The 25,819-nt window shown below is 35.0% G+C and overlaps 1 protein-coding gene across 11 annotated transcripts in view; it reads left to right on the plus strand.

Annotated features, from left to right (window-relative positions):
• Window positions 1-25,819, plus strand: part of NAALADL2 (N-acetylated alpha-linked acidic dipeptidase like 2) — a 1,369,567-nt gene that overhangs the window by 100,119 nt on the left and 1,243,629 nt on the right. For 10 of the 11 annotated variants that reach the window (XM_017006077.3, XM_047447876.1, XM_017006075.3 and 7 more), the window contains one exon: window positions 9,469-9,537. The exons of the other annotated variant lie outside the window; for it this stretch is intronic. The gene's annotated coding sequence lies outside the window, so the exon portion shown is untranslated. The remainder of the gene's footprint in view (window positions 1-9,468; window positions 9,538-25,819) is intronic. 11 annotated transcript variants of the gene reach the window in all.

A 25,819-nucleotide genomic window follows, 5' to 3' on the forward strand; every position in this document is an offset into this window, starting at 1 on the left:
TTTAACTCCAAACTCTTAAACTGAATATTTATCCCTGAAATATTAAAATTCAGGTAACATTAATTTCAAAGAAACCTTTTCTGAAGCCCCTTTCTCTCAATACCTATTATGCCACACTTCACATTCAATTTAATTTTAATTGGGAATGAAGTGAGATATGAGTTATCAAGAGAATTTTCTCACAAATTCTGTTAACAGATTTTTTTGATTGCCATATATCTGAATGACGTTTCTAAAAATTTTTACATTCCAATTTATGTTCTTCTAAATTAGAAAATTGGAATGTGTGACAACATAGCTTGATATATGCTAAAAGCACAGGTGTCAGAAAGATGAAAGGTGATGGTTAAATAACATGAAGGTTAATAGTCAAGGAATTTGATAGCTTTATAAGTAACACATATTGAATAAATTGAACGTGGGTTAATCAATCATTCAACATATTCTAAGTGTGTAGTATGTGCATGAAAATACACTGGATGCTATGAAACATTTTTTTAAAAGCAGTTAATCAAAAAGCATTAACTTGGCTCCATTTATGATTTTTATCATTGTGAAATGTAGAATTCAGTATGTTTCTTCCTACACAACTCTTTCCAACTACAGGAAAACAAAATAGGCAGTAAAAAATAAAATAGGCAATGATTAGGTACATACTTAAGTATTTAATATTTGCTAATTGTGAGATAAAGACACTGCTGATGATGCAGGGCAGATGAGCACCAAAATTGGGGCTTAGTCTGGGAGGATTCTTGGCTTCACTCAGGAAACAATTCAAGAGTGAGTCAGTGGTGGAAGAAAGCATGTCCATTGAAGCAGCAGCAGCGTACAGCAGAGTGACTACTTCTTGCAGAGCAGGGCTAACCCATAGGCAGTGTGCCCAAAGTATAGGCTGTGTATAGGCTGTTGGCCAACAATAATTATACCCATTTTTAATTCTGTGCAAATTAAGGGATGGGTTATTCAGAATTCTCTAGAAAAGAAACAGCAACTTCCAGGTGTTGCCGTGGCATTTGTAAACTCTCATGGTGCTGGTGGGAGTGTCTTATGCTGATACACATCAGGGAAACTAGAAATTGCTTTCAGAGCAATTTGCCACTTCTGGCTGTTTTCTTCATTTTATCCTGTCAGGACCAAGAAAGAAGTCCTACTAATCTACCTCATTCACCCCTCAGAGAATATACACTCCTCCTTAAGTTTAAGGGAGTTGCAAAGGGCAGAGGTCTCTCTTCTGTTACTGTTTCCTGCTGATCTTATGGGCATGGACTCTGCTTAGTGTTGGAAGAGCAAACATCTCTGGATGCCTGATCTAAGGGGCCTAAAGGCAAGATGTCTTTATTTCCTGGGTCAGAAGATGGGATGAGTTGGAAGTCTGGTGCCAGCATCTTCTTTATATGGAAACTTTACCATCTGGAAGACACAAACTATAGTGAGAGGTTAAACAAGCAAGGGACAAAAATTAACAGTAACAAGTTAGGTATCAAAGGTCCCAGGAAAGGTAAAAGCCAGATAAGACTTCAGAGGGTGCTTTTGATAGTCAACCAGAAAGTTGGGGTCAATTCCCTGGTTATAGCTATGTAACCAGGTAGCTTGTCAACATACAGATGTTGACATTTCATTTGTAAACTGTCATGGCACTGATGGGAATGTCTTATGCTGATGAACAGCAAGGGCAACTACATATTGCCTTCAGCACCATTTGCTGGCTCTGGCCAGTTTCTTCATTTCATCCTGTTGGGACTGGGAAAGATGTCCTGCTGGTCTCCTGCCTCATTATGAGAATAATTAGAGAAGGGCTAAATATGCGTGCTGTGGAATTTTCAGAGAGGGCATTTTAGAGGTGATATGACTTGAGCTGGACTATGACAGATGGGGAGAATTTGGGTGGCTGAGCAGTAAATAGAAAAATTTGTGGGATTACCCATCAGCATGAACCATAGGGGTGGTACTTTAGCAGGTAACGTCAGGGAGATTGATAGTGCAAGAAGGAGACATTAGTGACTTGAGCAGAGGATTTGTCCTGGAAAGTTATTAGATGTGAGAAGCAGGTACAGCTTTAAACCTAGGCGATGGACTGTTGCAAGTTCTTGAGCTGGAAGTGCCATTATAATAATATCATCTTCTGAGGAATTAACTTGAGCTGGGATTAGAGGCAAGATGATTGGCTAGGGGAGAGTTGTGGGTGTTATGCAGTAGATGAAGTCGGCTGAATGGGAGTGGTAATGGGGGAGTGAATGAAGAAATACAGTCTAAGTAATTAAGCTATATTTCACTGATACTTATTCCTTATTTACAAATATATTACAACAATTAACTCATTCCAGAGACAGTAATTAGCAATCAGGTTAAATTACTTTGATTACCTCTTTTACATTTAATTAACAGCATTTTAAGAAAACTGCTTTCTAAGATGTTTTATAGTCTATGTCGTTTCTTTTTTGCTTTTCCTTTCTTCTTTCCCTCTCCCTCTCCCTACTTCAGCCCATTTACTCTATCCCACTCTTTCCTACCTTCCCTTCTAAAAGGACAAAATTTTAGGGTGTATTTTACTAAAGTAAAATGAATCAAAATAATCATGATTTTATGGAAGTATTATGTAAGCATAATTTAAAAGTCACATAGGCTGGCCAGGTGCTGTGGCTCACACCTGTAATCCCAGCACTTTGGGAGGCCTAGGTGGGTGGATCACTTGAGGCCAGGCGTTTGAGACCAGCCTGGCCAACATGACAAAACCCTGTCTCTACTAAAAATATAAAAATGTGCCGAGCGTGGTGGCGTGCACCTGTAATCCCAGCTACCTGGTTGGCTGAGACATGAGAATCACTAGAGCCCAGGGGGCAGAGGTTGCAGTGAGCTGAGATCATGCCAAAGCACTCCAGCCTGGGTGACAAGAGTGAGACTCTGTCTCCAAAAAAAAAAAAAGAAAAGAAAGGCTTAAAATGAAACAAAACAAAACAAAAAACCCCAGCAACCCTCCAATACTTCTCTCATTCTTCCCACCCCAATCCAGTCCTTCTTCTAAGAGGCAACCATTTCCAACTGTTCCAGTTTTTTCTTTTGATAGCTCTATGCTTATAAAGTTATTTCTTGATTTTTAAATGGTTTATATTACCCACTGACTTCTTGTTTTATTGGTTGAGAATTTGTTTTTCTAGCTCTGACATCCAGCAATCTCAAATATTTTTCCTTCATTTTAATTAGAAGGTTATATCACATGTGTTTGTTAAATTAGTGGTTTTTACATTTATAACTATGTGAATATTTATAATAACTATGTGAATATTGTTTGAACCAAAACATATGATTTTTTTTCTTTCTCATACATTAAAAAAGTCCTAGAATTCTTTCCTTTTTTGTTTAGGTTTTAGTAAATCTTTCACTATTTGCTCCCAAATGTTCCATCACAGATATACTAAATGGCTATCAATAATCTTTTAATTTTCTTTGTTTCCTTTTTTTTTGTTTTCTTTTTTTTTTTTTTTTTTGAGACAGAGTCTCACTCCATTGCCAGGCTGGAGTGCAGTGGTGCAATCTTGGCTCACTCACTGCAACCTCCGTCTCCAGGGTTCCAGCGATTCTCCTGCCTCAGCCTCCCGAGTAGCTGGGATTACAGGCACGCGTCACCACACCCAGCTAATTTTTGTATTTTTAGTAGAGATGGAGTTTCACCGTGTTGGCCAGGAGAGTCTCGATCTCCTGACATTCTTATCTGCCTGCCTCAGCCTCCGAAAGTGCTGGGATTACAGATGTGAGCCACCACACCTAGCCTCAATTTTTATTTATTTATTTATTTGAGACAGAGTCTAGCTCCGTTGCCCAGGCTGAAGTGCAGTGGTATGAACATGGCCCACTGCAGCCTTGATCTCCTAGGCTCAAGTGATCTTCTCACCTCAGCCTCCCATGTTTCCAGGACCACAGGGATGCATCATCATGCCTGACTAATTTTTAAAAAACTTTTTGGAGAGACAAGGTCTTGCCATGTTGTCCAGTCTGGTCTTGAAATCCTGGGCTCAAATGATCCTCGTGTCTTGGCCTCCTAAATGTTGGGATTACAGGCACGAGCCACTGTGCCTTGCCTCAATAACCTTTTTAAATGGTCGAATTCATAAAATAACCCTTTAGCTTCACTAAACTTTTTTGTTTTTGTTTTGGGCCTGATAATGTTCCTGTTGTATCCCTTTATTCTCTTGCATCAATTTTAACTGTCATTTCTAGGCCAGGTAACTGTCGTCCTGGAACTTTTCTTTTACACTTTTATGTATTAGGATTCTGTGTTACCTGCATCCAGTACCTTCCTAGGAAAGGGTGCCTGGGAAAGTTTTTTGACTTCTTACATGCCTGAAATGTCTTTATTCTACTCTCCTGTGTGATTGATCGTTTGATTTAACATAGGCAGCTGCTTCTCAGAACTTCAAAGCCTTTGTTATCTTGTGGTATTTCTTTTGACAAATCGGAGTCCATGCTGATGGTTGGTGCTTCTTTACTCAGAAAATTTTGTGATCACTTTGTTGGATATCTATATGCCTTTTCAAACTGGTCTTTCAGCTTGGTATTTTTTTTGTTTTATTTTTATTGTTACTATTGTGATATTCTTTCCTGTGATTTCTGTCTTCATTTCTGAAACTTCTATTGGAAAAATGCTGGCCATCCTGTACTGATTCTCTGATATTCTCTCTATATCTTGTGATTTCCCATTTCCTTTTGTTTCTGATGAGTTCCTTAGTTTTATTTTTTATTATTTTTTCATAATTTTTAGGAAATCTTTATTCTGTGATTATTCCTATTGTATGGTATTCTGTTTTTGTTTTATTAATTATATATTTTATATATTTATATTTTGTTGAAATCTTACTCTCTGCATTGTCTCTGTTTCTTCCTGTTTTCCTTTTTTTCTGCTTGTTTTTTTTGGTCTTTTTCATGTTGAGGCATTTCTCATGTATTTAATAATTGTTAAATACTAATTTTAAGAATGAAACACTAAGAGTTGATAACTATATGCTACCTGTTAGGTAGGATTTGTTTTTTGGTGGGTTTCACTATGAAATGATGAGGAGAGGCCTTTCCATTTTTAGTTATCTGGTGATATTTTCTCAAGGGGTAGAAGGAATTGATTGAAGGTAGATCTGGGACAGGAAGAGTATGAAATTCCCACAAGTCAGTATGTAAACTTTACCTAATTCCCTTGTTTTAACTTTGCACTTGGTATTCCCAAGTTTGAGATATTCTGGTTCAGCCTTTCTAGGACATGTACCTCTGCTCTTTTGTTTGGAGGAGGTGAGAAGAGGGACCAGTCTTCTGGTTCTACAGTCAGAGAAGAAGACCTTATTCAGACATTCAAGGAGTCCTATTCTTAACTGCTGCAGTTTTCCCTTGATTTTCATAATACCTGGTAATGCCACTTGCTGAACCCCCCCAGGGGTTCTGTGATACAAACTGACATTTCTTATTGATGGCTTCCTCTGCAGACTCTTACGTTGTACCATGTGCTCTGCTAATTCAGATACACTTCTTTTACCCTTTTTCTGTCTTGTGACAGGTGTTTTTTGTTGTTTGTTTTTATTTTTGTTTTGTTTTGTAGACAGAGTTTTGCTCTGTTGTTCATGCTTGAGCGCAGTGGAGCGATCTTGGCTTACTACATCCTCGACCTCCTAGGCTCAAGCAATCCTCCCGCCTCAGCCTCTGGAGTAGCTGAGACTACAGGTGTGTGCCAACACACCTGGCAAATTTTTAAATTTTTTGTTGAGATGGGGTTTCACTATGTTGTCTAGGTTGGTTTACAGGTATGTAAATCTCTTGAATATTGTATCTTGTTTCCTGTTCTCTTTGCCTTCATGTGTAGTACTTTTTTTGAAATTTCCCAGTTCTTATTTTAGTTGGATTTGGGGATGGAGAAGAGGTAAAGATGTATTTAACTAGAAATTAACTCTTTATTTTCAAAGAGAAGAGTAAGGCATTATATTATTCATTAGATTGATTAGTTTTTGTTGGTTCACAAACTTAATTTTATAATGTGGGACTCAAAAGTGTATATTTTCTTTCTATAAGTTTTCTCTAGATCATGTTGGCCCAATTAGAATAGCAGTAACATAATCATGAAATGATAATAAGCATAAATGAGTACCAACTATGTGGCATTCACTGTCACATAAATTGTCCTGCATATACACTCTGATTAGCAGTAGTGACAAGTAGATTTTTAAGGGGAATGAAGAGGCAGTTTCTGGGTTGATTACCAGTAATTTACATTAAAATAATATAAGGTATTGATTGCTTATACATTGTTAAGCTCTAGGATGTGGATTATAGTGTCCTGTGTGGGATTAGTAGGTTAATTTATAGCTACTTGTGGCAATAGCAAGAAGTTTCAAGAGATGAAGGTGGTGAGCAGGACATGATTACTCTCTCATTTCAATGCCTCTTTGGGCCTAATAATGTGAATCCCAATAATAAGGAATAATAATAATAATGTGAATCCTAATAATAAGGATTCACATTCTACACATAAAAGTCATTTTCCTTTCTCAGCATTCTGTTTTATTCCTTAGGTCCATATGACCAAATCCTACATTCTTCCTAAGATATCATTTTTCTATATATATTTTTATCTTTGTTTTATCCTCCTAGAGCAATAGTTCTGAGTCAAGTGACATTGGGACATAGTTTGGTGAGAAGAGTTATAGCTCTTTAAACTTCAGATTAAAGAAAAGTTAACATAATTGTGAGCATATTTTGATGTGTTCTCTGAAGCCTTTCAACTTATGGCATTTCACAAAATGTTGAAATAGTAAATTACAAAAGAATTAAAATGTTTCACCAATTTGTACCTCATTGATGTCATCATGTTCTTGCAGCATAAAGCTAGAGGTGAAAAGGAACCACCTTTATAAATTGCTGAATGAAATGTAAATATGTGCAATCTTTTTGGAAAGCAATTTGGAGTATGTATCAACAGCTTTTAAAAAGTTCCTGCCTTCTGATCTAGACATCTAATTTTAGAGTTCTCTCCAAAGAAGGAAACCAGATGTTAAAACCACATTTAGTTCATTACGAACTGTGTAAACATAAAATTGGAAACAGCCTAAATTCATACAGTCGGAGAACTTTAAATAAATTTTGGTGAAACTGTATGATGGAGTATTATATAGCTCTTAAACATTATGTTTTTAAAGGGTACATAACACACCATATGGAATTTCTGATGTGTTAAGTGAAAAAACAGAATGCAGAATTGGACTCACAGTACAGTATAAAGTGGGTTCAAATTAATGTACATATGCACAGAAAAAAAACTAGAAAAAAATAAACCAAGCTGCAGATAGTTTTGTCTCTGCATTATTGAATTATAGACAATTTAAATGTTCTCACTAATGCTTATCTACAATTTCTAGATTTTCTAAAGTATGTATTACTTTAAAAATACAAAAAGCATATGGTCTTTAAAAACAGACAGAAAAACAGAAAAAAAAATCTCATCAGTTTGCTGGTGACAATAAGTAAGGCTAAGTGTTGTTTGGTTCTTCCCTACCTTCATATCATCATCTGTGAACGGTGCTAACAGGATAGAATTGCTCTGTTTACTGCACTGGATTGTTATTAACAATTTTCTAATTTAGGAAAAGGCACTGACTCCTATCATTTTTATTGCCTCCTTTCTTCAGTTACCTGAGTCGACTCTCCCATCTTCTATACCTTAAACACGACTATGAACTGTCATATGATTTAAGTTGCTAATATATATTTTATTATTATTATTATTTGAAACAAGATCTCACTCTGTTGCCCAAGCTAGAGTGCAGTGGCACGATCACAGCTCACTGCAGCCCCAATCTCTCTGGGCTCAGCTGATCCTTCCACCTCAGCCTCCCGAGTAGCTGGGATTACAGTCATGCAGCACCATGCCCGGCTAATTTGTGTATTTTTTGTAGAGACAGGGTTTCAACATGTTGCCCAGTGGGGCCTCCAATGCCTGGGCTCAAATGTTTCACCTGCTTTAGCCTGTCAAAGTGCTAGGATTACAGGTGTGAGCCACCACGTCTGGCTTGCTAATGCATGTTTTAAACTTATGTATTTTTATTTACAATGCAACTTTAAAGAAAATGGAACTGTTTTCTGACATGTTTTTAAAACATTTGTTAAAGGTTTCCTAGTACTACAGAGCAGATCTGACATATATTAAGAGCTGGAGTAGCTGAGATGGAGTTGTTATAAGATATGTGAAATCACTTAGAAAATAAAATCAAATGCAGATAGTTTAGCAGGATGACCAAGCCAGATGTAGACTCCTTGGCCTATGGCAAAGTTCTGTGCCAATGATTTTATCTGGAGTCTGGGAACTGATAGCTTGATATAAAATCACCTGGTGTCAATTAAATATGCAAATCTATCCTTTTTAATAAATAGAATGAATCTTTCTCATTTGTTTATTCAATAATTGTAACTTACTATGTCAGATACTAAATTAACATCCTTAGGGAGGTCACAATCTAGGAGGAACATGGGCAAACAGTTACTTATTTTATGGCATACACTAACTCTGAAAGTTCAGTAATGATGTTTTAAAATGTTACTTTTTGTGAAGTAAGGGAAAAGCAATTTTAGGTAATCATTGGCTTTTAAAAACCGAAATGTCATTGACAACCGGGATTAGAATAGAAGTATCCCCAAACTGGAGGAATCCCCTCCCCATCCAGGTCACATAGCCAATCTCTCAGGAACCCCTCTTACTGCAAAACCCAGCCTCTACTCAAACAGTTCCGGTGATGGGGAGCATTTATTCCATAACAGTGGTTTTTTGTTTTTTTTTTCCAATGTCTCTTTTAAAGAAAAAAATACTTTCTTTGGGTCTAAATTGTGAAAATACCCAAAACATTTGATAGAAATTGAACTCTGTCAACAGTGTTATTTATACTAAGATCAGGACAATTTCTTGAGATCATATTGTTTTATTACTAAGTTTGGCCTTTGTTTTACAAATGTAATGTTCATATTTATTTGAATTTTCAGATTGGTTAAATGTTAATGAAAAGCAATCCAATTGTTAATTTTTAGTAGTGCCTTTTCTGTGTATACCTTAATTTTATTTTATATTAATAATTCAAGTTATGCACCAAAATGAAGATTTTTTCCAAAATAAAAATAAAAAAGGTTTCCTAGTGACAAATGTTATATATGAGAAAAGTTAGAGGTGTGTAACTGGGTTTTATGAATAAAAAATATGGGGAAAAATCATCCTGATTACCTGTAATTAATATTGGTATAGTATCTAGACTTTTTTTAAGTAAAGTCATTTTTATGTAACTTAATTACTAATTACAGTGATTTTAACATAGTTAAAAGATTCTGCAACATAATTATTCTGCAACGTAGTTAAAAGAGGTGATTAAATTAAAGCCACAGACTTGTTTTCTTTAGGCTAGAATATTTCACCTTTGTTAAATAAGCAATTTTTTTTCCTTTTTTGTTTTTTAGGAGGCTGAGGGAAGAAAAGAATAATTTAAATGAAATTTAGTTTCTATAAAGAAAACGATTAAAAACAAGGTAGGTTTTTATCTTAGATATTTTATCCAGGATAAAGGCAGAGATTCAACCAAGTCTTTAATTATAATTAGTTATAGGAAATGTTTAAAGTATGCTTACAATATGTGCAACTGAGTATTCTGTTTCAGAAAGGAAAGTTTATTGAGTTGTTTATCTTTTGGGGGCAGTTGTTTACTTATTTTCCTTTTAAAATAAATAATCTAATAATTTTATAGCATTTTAAATAATCATAAAATGTATGTGATAAAGTGACTGCTATATGTTCTCTATATTTTTATCTATTAACTATGGATTGCTTCTAAAAACATGCCTTGAATAGTAAAGGATTCCATAGTGTATGTGCATTTTATTTTATTTTATTTTATTATTATTATACTTTAAGTTTTAGGGTACATGTGCACAATGTGCAGGGTAGTTACATATGTATACATGTGCCATGCTGGTGTGCTGCACCCATTAACTCGTCATTTAGCATCAGGTATATCTTCTAAAGCTATCCCTGTGCATTTTAAACATTATATGCTTTCTTTGTTTTTGATGAGATAGCAGTCTAAATTTTTTCACTCTGCTCTTGTGTTTAAATGCAAATAAGTTCATTCAGTTTTCTGTTGGTGCTTTATTTGATACTACCAAGTTTTTGTTTGCTAATGTAGCACATATAAGGCATCCCCTGTAAAAACATCCCCCAAGCTACTCTATGGTTAGTGTATGGCTAATATATTACCAGATATTGTGGACTTTGTACATATTCCTCACATAAGTTATTCAGATAATTGTTTATATTAGAAAAATGTTATTTATTTAAACCCATCACATCATTTTAAATAAAATGGTTCATGAGAAAGAGCTGGATATAGTTGTTAGAATGTTAGAATCAGGTGTAGCCTTACTAAAAGGCATGTTTCAGACTGACAAAAGTCATGTGCTTCTTGAGTGTAGTGGAGGCTAAGAGAGCACATGCTACTGCATCCAGATCAACTGTTAACTACTATATTATTTCGTGATCAGAAAGCAATGTTTTAAGCAGTTTACTAATAACTAATATCCTAATAAGGTAGTTTGCCACTTAAGAGTTTTAATGTGTTTTATGAAATCAATTGCATATTGAGGTTAATGTGTAACACATACTAATATTTTCCATTTAATATAACAGGAAATAGAAAACTGGTTAGCTTTTTCATGCTGAGTTTTATTGATATTCAGTGGAAGATACCTGAAATCTATTTTGAAAGGCTGATGTGGTGGAAGGAACATTGGCTTTGGTATCCACGGTCCTCGGGTCAAATTCTGCCACTGCTACATTTATGTATACTTGGAGAAGTTTCTTAAGTGTTTGAGCTTCAGTTTTTTTCTATGTAGAATGAGAATAATATTCCTCTTTTACAGTTGTTTTGAAGATTCATAAAAATATACATACAACATTCTAGTGCCTTGTGGATACTAATCGTATTAGTGAAGGCTATTATGAATACCAATAATCTATAATAATTAACTATGTAAGACAATAATAATAGCAAATTTTCTATATTGTCTTCCAATCGTTGGAACACTTTCAAATATAACGTATATAATCTTTCCGAAAGCTCAGAGAAGGATCTTATTATTGTTGGCATCTCCTATATACAATTCAGGAAGGTAATGCTCAGGGAGATTAATTGACATGACTAGTAAATGATGAAGTAGAAATGTGAACCTAATTGTCTAGTATTAGAATTTCTGCTCTTTATACAAGAAATATCAGTTTTTCATTAATAGTTTTTAATTTCACATTCTTAATGACAAACATATCTATTTGGCCTAAAATTTTTAGTTAGATTGACAAATAAATTCCTAGAAACCAGGTATTAATTTAGTTTTTACTACAAATCAATAATAGGCCGGGTGTGGTGGCTTATGCCTTTAGTCTCAGCACTTTGGGAGGCTGAGGCAGGCCTATTGCCTGAGTGCAGGAGTTTGAGACCAGCCTGGGAAACATGGCGAAATCCTGTCTCTGCAAAAAAATACCAAAATTAGCTGGATGTGGTGGCACAGGCCTGTAGTCCCAGCTACTCGGAAGGCTGAGGTGGGAGGATCATTTGAGCCCTGAAGGTTGAGGCTGCAGTGAGGTGAGATCGTGCCACTGAGCTCCAGCATGGGCAGCAGAGTGAGACCCTGCCTCAAAAAAAAAAAAAAAAAAAAAAAAAAAAATCAATAATGTATGGAGTTAGCACCGAATAATTCCTTGTAATTGCACAGTGATTTATAGTTTCCTGAGTGTTTTTTAACATGCTTTAATTAGTTGAGGCACCAGTGGGGGCAAGATAGGTGACTATAGACATATGTTACACGTTATAAACTTTAAGTCCAAAGAGGTTGTGTTTTGCTAAAGATGATGAGATTAATAAATGGTGGACTTTTGTGTCTCCACTGTTGTTTTTGACTATGGGTTTTATATATCAGGTTTTACCTAAGTGAACTAAATTCTATTTCATTCAGCACTTATAGGAAAAGTTTTATGTTTAAAAGTAGATGTTGTTGGAAATGCAAAATTAGCAAGACAAATTCCTTGCTTTTATAGATTTTAAACTTGGGAGTAGGAGAGATAAAAATGTATTAAATGGCAAATGTTATAATAATTAGAAGCATAAGTGCAATGACATGTGTAAGAAAGCAAAACCAAACAAATCTGGATTTGTATATTTGGTCAATTAAACTCCTAAAAGGTGTTAATAGTTTATGCGGAAGAAAACTGGAAGTGACCATAGGTTTCTTATAAGCTTAAGCTATGCAAAACTGCATTTTTGTTCTTAAAGGAATTATGGACTATAATGAGTTCTCAACAATGTGCTAAAATTTATTATAAGAAAAAATAATTAAGCAAGATAATGTTGCTTTATATTGATGCTTAATGTAAATGCATGTGCGTTCATTAAATTTAGACAGTGAAAAACTTAGTTCCATGTCTTAATTCATTCCACTTATGTTTAGGTGGGAATTAGATTTAATGAGTTATAATCATCTTTAACATTTGATGTATATATCTTCATCTAGGACACTTAGCTGCATGGTACTTCAAGTAGCACATTAAGAAGAAAAATTCTTCCCTTGATTTCATCTGGGAATGAAAAAATTCTTGAAAAAGTTGAGTATATGTGGTTTGGAGTTAGAGTCGTTTTCCATTTCTTGTGATTAATTCAGGAAATGAACAGTCTGGGCTTTCCATTGTACATTCATTTTAGTAATGGGTAATTTTTTGTTTTACATTTAAAGGTGCTGCTTTCAGATGAGTGTTAGGTAATTCTATCTTGAAGCATAATATAAACTGTTAGCTAAATGTGGTCATTTTAATCTAGCTAATAATGTTCTCCATGTCATAGTTTCTAGGTAAAGTAGAAATTTCTGTTTTAAAGAAGTCAGAACTGACATTGTTGATGAAATTATACAATCGGATGTGACTACTAGCCTTTTGTCTTTGGATAATGCTCACATTATATTTTATAAATATCTTTTAAAATATTTATATTTTGTCTAGAAAACAAAAGAAAAAAATGAAAAATTAACCATTCTTCCACCACCCATTATGTGTACTTAGCCTTTAATAAAAGCTTTATACATAAACAAAATAGTATCATATCTTTAATGGTTTTGTAACTTGATTTTTTAAAGGTAGTAATAGATCATGAATATTTTTCAATATTATTAAATATTCATTTATAACAGTTTAATGGTGAAATTTAATAAATATACTGTGAAATGAATTATACAATTTATCTAAGTGCTTATTGTTGAACATCGACACCCCTTTCTCTTTTTCTTCCCTTCCCTTCTCTTCACTGCCCTCCCCTTCCCTGCCTTTTCTTTACTCTTTCTCCTTCCTTTTCTCCCCTCCTTCCTTTCTTCTTTCCCACCTTTTAATGTTTCCTCCATTGTTAAAATGTGACAGTTTTTAAAAAAAATCTATGAAGCATGTCATTTATTATTCATTTAAAATAATTTCATAGAAATAGTACTGATAAATTAAAAAATATGTACATTTGTGAGGGTGTTTTAAAGTATTGTTGTACTTTTCTCCATAAAAGATTGTACCAGTTCACACTTCTGTATTTATGGTATGCAATTCAAAAAATTTTTTGTAGTCATATATACCAATAATTTTTTTCCTTTATGTTGTAGGGAATTGTCTTAGTAAATTTGGGGCAAAATATTTTAGACTGGGCAATTTATAAACAATCGAAATTTTTACTCACAGTTCTAGAGGCTGGGAAGGTCCAGATCAAGTAGCCAGAAGATTCTGTGTCTTGTGAAGTCCCATTTCTCATAGATGGTGTTCTTCTATGTTTCTTCACATAGTGGAAGGGGCAAACAATCTCCTTTGAGTTTCTTTTTACAAGGGTATAATCCCATTCATTAGGGCTCTGCCCTCATGACCTAGTCACCTACTAAAGGCCCAGCTCTTATTATTGTTGCACTGGAGATTAGCTTTCTACATATGAATTTTGGGAGGACGCAAATATTCAGACCATAGCAGGGAGAAAAAATAGTATCTTTTCCTTACTCATTGCAAGTTTCATGGCTGATACCTCTATAAGGAAACACAGAGCAAAAAGAGAAAAGCATAACAAATTTATTTAATATAAGTTTTATGAGACACTGAAATCTTCAGACAGACCCAAAGCCACGGGGAAATTATTATTATTTTTTTGAGAGAGTCTCACTCTTGTCGCCCAGCCTGGAGTGCAATGGCGCGATCTTGGCCCACTGCAACCTCCGCCTCCTGGATTCAAGCGATTCTCCTGCCTCAGTCTCCCGAGTAGCCGGGATTACAGGCGCCCACCACCACACCCCACTAATTTTTGTATTTTTAGTAGAGAAGGGGTTTCGCCATGTTGGCCAGGCTGATTTCCAACTCCTGACCTCTGGTGGTCCGCCGGCCTTGGCCTCCCAAAGTGCTGGGATTACAGGCATGAGCCTCCGCGCCTGGCCAAAAATTCAGTTTTTTGAACAGTTGTGCAGAAGTATGATTGGAGGACAAAAGGGTGTGATCTGATGGTAATAAACTGGGGAGGAACTGAGCAAGACCTCTTTGTTCAGATTCTTCTTGGCCTTTCTATAAGCCATTCCATCCTTCTGGGTATAGGGGATGACTTCTCTAGAATGAGGATCTTACTACCTACTTTCAGGTCAGATAATTCTTTTACGGCCAGTTCTCAGAGGAAAAGTGTGAGAGGTCATAGTGTGACCTTCCTGTTTCCGCTATTTTCTCAATTTCTGACGTGCTGTATTTGGGGGTTGTGTTTTCCACCACCCCATCGATGTTATTTGCTTTTGGTATATGCTTAGAGAGAAGCCTTATCCTCCGTGTGTGTGTGTGTGTGTGTGTGTGTGTGTGTGTGCGCGCACGTGAGTGTGTTTCTTCTAGTACTATCTATAATGGTTAGAATTCATACATACAGATATAGATGTTGGTGTAAAACCATAACTTTTCTTTTAATATCACACGAATTTAAAGTGCTGGGTGATTACATTCAGTTTAGATGTCAGGAAAAGGAATCTTTGTGTGAACTGAGCCCTAACCTCAAACTGCTCATTATTCTATTCCCTGTCGTGGGCCATGATGGGAAGTGGAATGATTTGCCACCTAAATGAGTTTACTATCTACTCTTGTTTTATCCTTATATGAGTAAAGATCCTGGATATCTAGGAGACTGATGCTGAATTTTTACACATCTTTAGCAAGTATGTGTAGCAGTTCTGTTCTTTTGCCTTAGATTTTCGACGTATTAATCTTTCCCATTTGAATATTTAATATCATCAGAAAAAGAGGTAACTTTTTTTTTTCTTTTGCTTGCTTCCTTTCATTGTGAAAAACATTTTGACGTGTTTCTTAAGAAGAAAAGAATGCATTCTCTTGGTTTAAAAAAAAATAAACAACGTTGGAAAATATTGATCTGGCTTTAAAATCTAGCAGTTGTCCTTCTTAATACACAACTTATAGAATTGTGTATTATTTCCCTCAGGAAATAATTTACATTAAGGAGAGCAAGCTGTGAAGCTCAGTTTTTAAGAATATGTGTTCTTGAAATGCAAAGAGTCAGACATTGGATAATTTTAGTAGATTTTAAAATACATTTTTTTTTTTCTAGAAACAGAGTCTTGCTTTGTCACCCAGGTTGGAGTGCAGTGGCACAATCATGGCTTACTGCAGCCTCAAACTCCTGGGCTCAAGCAATCCTCCCACCTCAGCCTTCTGTGTAGCTAGGACTACAGGTACACATAATCATGCTTCACCAATTTCTTTTTAATGTTTTATAGAGATGCGGTCTCACCATGAATTGTTCAGGCTTGTCTTGATCTCCTTGCTTCAAGCAGTCCTCCCTCCTTGGCCTCCCAAAGTGCTGGGATTACAGGCTTGAGCCACCGTGCCCAGCTACATTTTTACAGAAATATATTTTTATTATATGACAACATGTAATTGCTATACAAAAACAACATTTAAAGCTGTGTATTTTTATATTTGTTAGAATATTAATAATGATTAAAACATGTTACAAATTATGCATTCTGTTTCGGCCTTTTTACTCTAATAATAAAAACTCGATTTTCTTAATCATTGACCTACACGAAATAGTTGACCTACATGCCACAAAAACCTTGACTTAAAAAAATACAACTTTATTTTTAAACTACTATGAATATTATATAGCACTGTGAACATAAAAATTTAGCTGCTTTTTAGTCATTTCATCTCATGAAATATCTTTTGTAAAAACTTTTTTAATATCTCAGGGGTCTGTTACACTTTTGATGTGTTTTATTAATATCATAAATATCTGTTAATATTTGAGGTATCTTTTTAAACTCTGGGGATCATTTTCTTGAATTCTTTTTTTGCAATGGAAAATTTTTAATATAATAGACTCCTTTAAGAGGTACAGCTGTATTAGGATTTCAGTAAATATGCAACTAGTTTTTCTTGTTTGTTAATCTGCTCATGGAGAAATATTTTCATCCAGTTACTACTGTTCCTAGCTGATTTTTAACATCATGAGGTAGTCGTCTGGAGGAGTCTGCACTACTAGAACTGTTTTTTTTTGTTCTTCTTTAAATGTATCTTTGTCAGGAGGGCCCCAATAACACCCCGAAGTTTGATGATTTGCTAGGTGGACTCACCAGACCCAGCATATAGTCATCCTCATGTTATGAGCCATTACAGTGAAAAGAAAGGGTGTATGGGGAAACCAGGCACAAACTTCCAGAGCCTTCTAGCGGAGTCAAACAGGAAGCACTTAATTCCTCCAGCAATGATTTGTGACATCAAATGTGAAATGTTAACCAGTGAAACTTCTTAGAGGCTCTGCACCCAAGATTTTTACTGGGGAGTGGTCAGGGAGGCACCCTCTGCCTGGCATGTACCAAAATTCCAGACTCTCAGAAGAAAAGCAAGTATTCAGCATAAACTATATTGTTTATGCAATCAGTTTAGGCACAGTGAGCCCACTCCTTCAAGTTCTAAGAATAATGGGAACACTTCTGATATCCAAGTTTCCAGATGCCAGTCAAGGGCCAAAGTTGTAAGCAGGCTTTTCAAGGGATAGCAATTAGGCCTGCTGGGTAATTCTTTCCTGCAGTCTCCTAATTTCTACTGCGCTTGTTTCCTCTAGCACAGTGGTCCCCAACCTTTTTGTGACCAGGGACTAGTTTTGTGGAAGACAGTTTTTCCACAGACTGGGTACGGGGGGGATGGTTTTAGGATGATTCAAGTGCATTCCTATTATTATTACATTGTAATATATAATGAAATAATTTTACAACTCATCATAATGTACAATCAGTGGGAGCCCTGAGCTTGTTTTCCTGCAACTAGACGGTCCCATCTGGGGGTGATGGGAGACAATGACAGATTATCAGGCACTAGATTCTCATGAAGGGCACACAATCTAGATCTCTCACATGTGCAGTTCACAATAGGGTTCGTGCTCCCCTGAAAATCTAACGCTGCCGCTGATCTGGCAGGGGGAGAAGCTCAGGCCATAATGCCAGCGATGGGGAGGGGCTGTAAATACAGATGAAGCTTTGCTCACTTAGCTGCTGTTCACCTCCTGCTGTGTGGCTTTTTCCTAACAGGCCATGGACTGATCCTGGTCCATGGCCTGAGGGTTGGGGATTTCTGCTAGAACGCAATTTCATCAGTTTATCAAACATTTTGCCAACATGTACCTTCCCCAAATTCCTGAAAATTTGTGACTTTTGGAGAATATGCTGAAAGAAGCAGCTGCTTCCCCTCCACTTGCTGCAGTTCTGTATACATGAAAATATGACATAAAATAGAGTTGCCTTTCAAATCTGATCAATTAGAAGTGGCTCCCTGGGACATTCAGTTCAGAATGATTGCTACATAAAGCTTGGGTTCATGTAACCCAAGGGAAAGATTAGTGACTTTTATCTTGGATTTGAAAGTGGCTATGACAGACCATTTGCTTGTTATCCCTGGAAAGGGTGCTAAATCAGATATCAGGAGACCCTGTGTATTTCACGGTGAGCAGGTCTATGCAAACTTAATCCCAAAGAGGAAACTGAGAGGCCAAAGAAAAAGGCTGACAAATCTAGTTTCTCAAACAATTAATAGGGACTTACAAACAGAAGCCATACCTTGGTGTTGGCAAGACAAGATGGTGAATCCCTGCACCATTACCACCCCCTACCCCCACCATACCATTGTGAAAGATTATATATGCTTCAGAAGGAATTTGCAAGACAATTGAAGTAATTTGCTTAAGGGCAGGATTTATGGTAAGTACTGCTCTTAACAGTAGATAAAGTAGAAATTTTAGAGGCATTCCTGAAACTGGGGTTAATCAGAAGTCAGCATGGCAGATTATCGTGCAAGATGGAGTTGCTTTAGCCTCCACGCTGTGCCTTAGTCAGCTTGGGCTGCTATAACAAAATACTATAGACTGGGTGACCTATCAGCAACAGAAATTTATTTCTCACAGTTCTGGAGGCTAGAAGTCTGAAATTAGGTTGCCAGCATAATTAGCTTCTGGTGAGGGCCCTCTTCTTTGTTAAAGACTGACATTTTCTTGTTTTATGCTTGTTGTATGATGGAAAGAAGGCAGGAGGGTCCCTTTTATAAGGGTGGTAATTCCATTTATGAGGGCTCCACCCTTATGTCCTAATTCCCTCCCAAAGGCCCTACCTACTAATACTGTCACATTGAGGATTAAGATTTCAAGGAATGAATTTTGAGGAAGACACAACATTCAATCCATTGCACTACCTTGTAATGCATTGTACACGGAATCAGCTCCGACTCTACCACTGACACGTTGTGTCTTTGAGCAGATCATTTTTACCTTTCCAAAATTGAGTTTTCTTCTTTCTTACATCTTAAATAGGAAGATGTACTATATAATTTCAGAAATAATTTTTAATTATCTAGTTATTAGAATTTTAAGTTTTAGATAGATGTTTCCTGGTCTGTGTGGATCAATGAGGTTCTTTTTAATTACTTTTGTCTCTAGCCTTCAACAGTGATACATTATAGATGAGATGTAGAGACTGTTACTGCCCTTAGGATACTTACCTTTTGATTTTTCCTGCTTTTACAATGTTCACATCCAAATATAAAGTTGTATCTTAATTAAAAATCCAAAAGGAGAAATTAAGTCATGGACTGCATAGCCTTAATGACAATAGGTACAAAAGATGACAGGGCAAGTACTTAATTCCCATTGAACAGACTAGGACTTGATAATTTAGAGAAAATGAGTAACTTGTAAATGTCTGCACAGCTAATGCAAAGTAGAGCCTAAAAAGAATGTAGTTGTTTTAGTCACTCAACAGAAAGTTCTTTGAGGGCAGATACTGACTTTTTCTTCATGCTTTATCTTCAGTGACTGGAATACAGGAGTAGCTAAAAAAATTTTAGATGGATAATAGTTTTATAAACTTGCAAACCTTTTTGAGAGCTTAGCTGTGAAAAATTCTTTATTTTAATATTCTACTGTATTTTGATTGATGGTTTTTGTAATTACCTTTAGTGTTTCCAGTTCACCTGGGACCTGGCTTTGGCTGTTAGAGACTTTATTTATTTCTCTGGAACTTTACCGTGTGCCTTTTTTCTAGCAATTTATGTCCTCTCCCTCTCATACTGAAGGTTATCTGGTAAATTGTGATTTTTTATTTGGTATCTTAGTCTGCTTTCAGGTGCTGTTCTGGTCTAGAACACTGAAAAATCTCTCTTTGACCCTGTGCAACCATCACTGAGATAAAAGCTCTCAAACAGCACCATTTCAAAGAAATCCTGTAATAGACTAACATAAAGCAATTTACCATTGTTAAGGAAACAACTTTTAAGTAACACCTGTTAAAGCACAGGAGGCTTAATTCAGGACAATGGTGATAGGTATAGGAACAACTATAGCAGGGTCTTGTAGTGGGGAAGAGAGATTAGGCTTAACTTTGAATACAGAATGGGTAAGCGGTAAATTTATAACCCAAGAGCAGGGTGATCAGTGGATGGAAAATTACTAAGAGGAAATATGGAAGTAAGAGGGATTCTAGCTAAACTGACTAATAGGATTCCTTTTTTTTTTTTTTTTTTGGAAAGAGTCTCGCTCTGTCACCAGGCTGGAGTGCAGTGGTGCGATCTTGGCTCACTGCAACCTCTGACGCCCTGGTTCAAGCTATTCTCCTATCTCAGCCCTCCGAGTAGCTGGGATTACAGGCATGTGCCACCATGCCCAGCTAATTTTTTTGTATTTTTAGTAGAAACAGGGTTTCACCATATTGGTCAGAATGGTCTCGATCTCCTGACCTTGTGATCCACCCTCCTCGGCCTCCCAAAGTGCTGAGATTACCGCCATGAGCCACCATGCCGGGCCACAGGATTCTTACTTAACTCAGGCCAGGGTGGTCACACATCACCTAAGGAGTGATGAAGGATGAGGAACCTGATCAAGTAGAGAGGATAATCAGATATTGAGGGTAGAAGATTCTTGCTAAACTGACTTAGCAAAGTTGTTTGCTGCAACTGGATTTGGAAGGAAGTGCAGAGATGGGCCTAGCAGAAGAATCAGAAGCCTGACTAGAGATGCCAAGCAGAGAATCTTTCTCACCATTTGCACTGAAGATCAGTGGTCACACTGGTAGAAAATGTGTTCAATTACTTTTACAAATCAAAGAGAATTATGATGCTGTCACATTATTTTAAAAAATGCTTTATATATATCCTGTGCTGACATTTTCTCTTTAATAAGTTGGACTTAAAGTATAGCTCTTCAAGTGCATTTCGGAAATTTTATTTTTGTAAAAATGTTCTTTGTCAATTCTGGAAAATTCTTCCATAATCCTATTTTCAAAATATTTTTCTACAGCTATGTGAAAAATAATCACTATAACTAAATTTTTAATATTAAAAGAACCTACTAAATTATTTTTAAAAGATGCATTTTAGTGAATACAGAAATATTATTTCATGCTTAAAATATTGTGTGTTGACAGCAGGATTCTATCATTTCAAATTATATCTTTGTAATTTCAGTACTATATTTAACTAATTACATTTATAATTTTCTACTTAACTCAACTATTAGGCATTATAGGAAGAAGGCATTTTAAAGCACCAAGTAATTTGGAGTTTTATGATTAAACCTATTCATACAAGTTTGATGCTTTGAGATTGTGAAAGAAAATGTTAATTAGTTTGTAATTTAAAATACCAGTAGCCTTAAAGGTGTGCTATTGATATGGTAATATTTTTAGATCACTTAAAGAGATTTTTGAAGCACTGATTTAAAACAGAGGGGATAGAAAAAGAATAATATGTGAAAAATAAGAAAAATTTTTTTGTGGAGCTGTAGAAATGACAAAGTGGTAGAGTAAGATATCCAGACTACGGTAGAACTGTAATTTTAAATTTTTGTTTATATCTGTGTGCTTTAATTTTATTAATTTTTGAATCAGTCATATATTAGCATTCTTTTTGCATAGTTGTATATGAGCAGGACCACAATATTGCCACCTCGCTGGACCCCATTTCTTATTGTAGTCTATGTAAATATTGTCTACTGGAACTACGCAAGGAGAAGCAATTATGACAGGAGCATACAATTTTGTTTGGCATCTTGTGATGCCAAACAAAATCATGATATTCTGTCACGAGACCTTCTGTAAAAGTTGATATGTATGTAAACATTATATTTAGTAATAATAATATGGAAGTTGTTTTATTGTGCTCACTATAAAGATTCACCATTTGACCTTTCTGAAAATAGTTGGGAATTAAAAGTAACTCTTTAAAGTATTTATCTTCAGATCTAGCTAAATTTCACACATGAACACAAAGTTATATTTCTGGATGACTCAGTAATAAATACTTTAAGATGTAACAACAATTTAGTTTTTTGTGACATAGCAGTTTTCAAAGCAGATTTAAGTAGTCATTTAAGCAATATATTGTTTTGGCTGAAATGATTTTGTTAATTTTCTTCATTTTCCACTGGATTTTCCACATGAAAGAGTATCTATAAAATTAAGATTTTTTTCTTTTATTTGAAGATGAGTTTCTTGTTTATAAATGCTTAACCTACAAAATTTCATGATGCTGTCTATTAAATATATCTTTAGCATGTTTATTTCTTCTCCAGATATTTATAAGTATATGCTATAAACCTTTTGGTGATATCAAAAATATTTTAAAAGAAAAATTTCAGGAACAAAGAAGTTTAGAAATTTCTTTGAACTCTTAGAAATTTTATGAGATAAAAATTAAAATATATTAATATGATTTCATAAACCATCAATAACTATAAAACTCAAATCATACTCTTAAAAATGTGGGAATTTTTATTGTGAAGAGTAGAAAGATTTATTTGGATTAATTTATTCAGAGGCACCTAGATAAAACTTAAGACTAATATAGCATTTAAACTTACAATGTCATTCTAGATACTAAGTTAATGATGTTTTACAAGTTATTATTTGTAGTATTCTTATTATTATTTGCTTCTAAGTATTTTAAAATTTCCATTATGATTAATTTATTTTCTGATCCCTAAGTTATTTAACTATGTGTTTTTAAAATGTATGTTTGTAGGTTTGTTTGTGTTTACAAACTTGTGATTTAATTACATTCTGATCAGAGAAGGTGATCTGTCTTCATATGTTTTGAAATTTTTCAAGACTTACTTTTTGGCCTAGAATACGGTCAATATTCATTCATATTATGTTTGCTTTTTCTCTTTGACAAAACCCGTCGTAAGAGTCACCTTAAGATTGGCTGCAAGAGAGTTCCTGCAAAGTACTGCTTTAAACCTTCCGTAGATGGGGCTGGTTGGAATTCCAAAGAAATAAGCACTGAACACTAGGGTGATCTGTCTAAAGCACAGGGAAACTTACAGCGTGCTGCACAGTCCTCCAGTCAGATAGCAAGGCAAAGATGTTCTACCTAGGTATGCCTGACCAAAGTTAGGGAGTTGGTAATGGGGTAATGGAGTTCATATAAGATTCATATGAGTTTAAGGATTTTGGCTCAGTAGCCGGGGGGCTAGTTGGGTTGGAGGGGTACTTTTACGTATTTAGCAAGATTTTAATCTCTTAGTGTTTTTGAGCCTCAACCTGAATAGCTTTATCAGTGCCTGGGAATGTTCAAGGCTCTGGATTGGTTTACATCCTTTGGGAAAAAACATGCGGCTGGCAAGGTCACAGAGTAATCAAGGCATTTAATCTTTCTAAGTTAGGACACAGAATAAAAGGAGGAGGATGTCAGTGAGGGTAACAAGGTAGGGATGGAGACCTGGAGGACCTAGTGGGCGTGGAAACCCGGGGAACCCTACAGTGCTTGAAAAGAATGTGTATTCTCTAATTAGTGATTGTATGGTTTAGTGATGTACATGAAATTAATTTTGTTAAATTTATTGTTATACATTTCTATAACTGTTAATTTTGTCTAAGTAACCTAATAGTATTTCAAAGTGGTGTGTCAGTCTCTTTTAATGGTTTTGATTTATTAATTTTTCTATTTTTCTCAGCTTGTTCTTTATATATTTTGGGACTTTTAAATTATGCACATACAATTGAGAATTGTTATATATTCCTAATGAATTTAGTGATTTATTATAACAAAATTGTCCTTCTAATCTCTAGTAGCAATTTAATTATATCTTGTCTGAAATGTATTTGGGTATTTCAGATTTCCTTTGGTTTGTGTTTGCTTTATATATCTTTTTTTTTCCATTTCTCTACAGACTTTCAAAAGTGTATGTTTTACATTTGTATTGAGTCTCTATAGGTGAATTTTTGGTATTAAAAATGTCATATTTATTTATTTTTACAGTTTTTTTAGAAAATTGATAGACTTTTTTGAGCAGTTATAGAGGGTATATGCAAATTCCAATTTCTTCTGAATTTTCCAATTTTACAGGACAATTCAGAAGAAAATACAGGGTTTGCATATACACCCTCACCACCATCCCCCCTTGTTTGCCCTATTATTAACATCTTGTATTAGTATGATATATTTGTTACAATTGATGAGCCAATATTGATTCAGTATTATTAATCTTAACTAAAGTCTATAGATTACATTAGGATTTTCTTTGTATTGTACATTCTATGGGTTTTGAAACATGTATAATGACATGTAGCCACCATTGCAATACCACACAGTATAGTTTTGATGTCCTAAAAATCTCCTGTGCTTTACATTTCATTCTTGCCTCCCTTCCCCCAAATCCTTGGCAATCACTGATTTTTTTACCGTCCATAGTTTTGCCTTTTCTAGAACATCATGTAGTTGAAATCATCGGAATGTAGCCTTTTAAGATTGTCTTCTTTCATTTAGATATATGTACTTAAGTTTTCTCCATGTCGTTTTATGGTTTAATAGCTCATCTATCTTTATTTCTGAACAGTATTACATTTTATAAGTGTTCCAGTTTGTTTATCCACTCACTTACTGAAGGATTTCTTCGTTGCTTTTAAGTTTTGGTAATTGTTAATAAAGCTGCTAAAAAACATTCATGTGCAGGTTTTTGTGTGAATATGAGTTTTCAACTCATTTGGGGTGAATGCTAAAGATTGGGATTGCTGGATTTGTTAAGATTTTGTTTAGTTTTGTAAGAAACTGCTAAATTGTCTTCTGAGGTGTCTGTACCATTTTGTATTTCTACCACCAATGAGTGAAAGTTTCTGTTAATTCACATCCTCAGCAGCATTTGGTGATGTCAATTTGGATTTTAGTATAACTAGAGTCTAAAAAATATCCCATCAGACATTTCCTTTTGTATAGCTGAAGAATTACTACATCCATATTTATTTTGACTATTGTTATTTGTCTATGTCTTGTTTATCTGTCTATATGCCCTACTTTTTTGTGTCTTTTTTCTTCATTTTGAATTGACCAAATTTTGCATGTCTTGTTTTTTATTCCATTTTCTCCATCTTCTGTTTTGGAATTTATGCCCTTTATAATTTTAGTGGTTATTCTTGAAATGTATCATATATAGTTGAAGTCTAAAGTTAAACTGTAGTACTAGGATCTTAGAACACTTGGATCTTATCACTCTTGTGACTTAATTTTTTAATTTTCATTTTTCAATAAAATCCCTACCATTTAGAAATTATTATTATTAAATACAGATATTTTTGTAGATTTAACTTTCATTCTAGAAATACAGTTTATTCAGACACAATTTTTCAGCACTTTGAGGACAATATTTTGTAGTTTTCTGAGTTCTATTACTGATGTGAAGGGGTTTGTTACCAGTGAGGTGAGGCTTTATTTGTAGAGGATCTGGCTTTTTTCCTCTAAGCTGCTTTTCACCTCCTCTTTTTACCTGGTTATCTGCAGTTTTACCATGATGTGCCTAAGCATGTATTCTTTTAATTGCTTTCACCAGTTGGACATTTTTTAGTCATTTCTCTTCATATATAGACTGTTTTTCCTTTTTTTCACACTCCACTTCTCGTTCTCTGTTTAAAGTTATCTTAGCTTCCCTCATTCCATATTTTATGTCTTTAATTTTTTCCCTTATTTTTCTATCTTGTTTATGATCTGTGCTCCAACTACTTAATTTCTTCACTCTGTTTCTCTTCACTGATTCTTTCTTCAGTTCTGTTTAATCTGTTTTTAAAAGTTTTCCTCTTGTTTCATTTTCAATTTTTTTTTTTTATTTCTAAAAGTTCTGTTTATTTTTTCTTTTCAAATCGCTGGTGTTTGGGGAGTCTGTTGTAGCATTTGAGTGGTCCATGATTAACTTTTTTAAGAAAACCACAAAACAAAAGGTATGTTTTATTGATGATA

The sequence above is a fragment of the Homo sapiens genome, chromosome 3 (assembly GCF_000001405.40).
Source record: "Homo sapiens chromosome 3, GRCh38.p14 Primary Assembly".
NCBI lineage: Eukaryota > Metazoa > Chordata > Mammalia > Primates > Hominidae > Homo > Homo sapiens.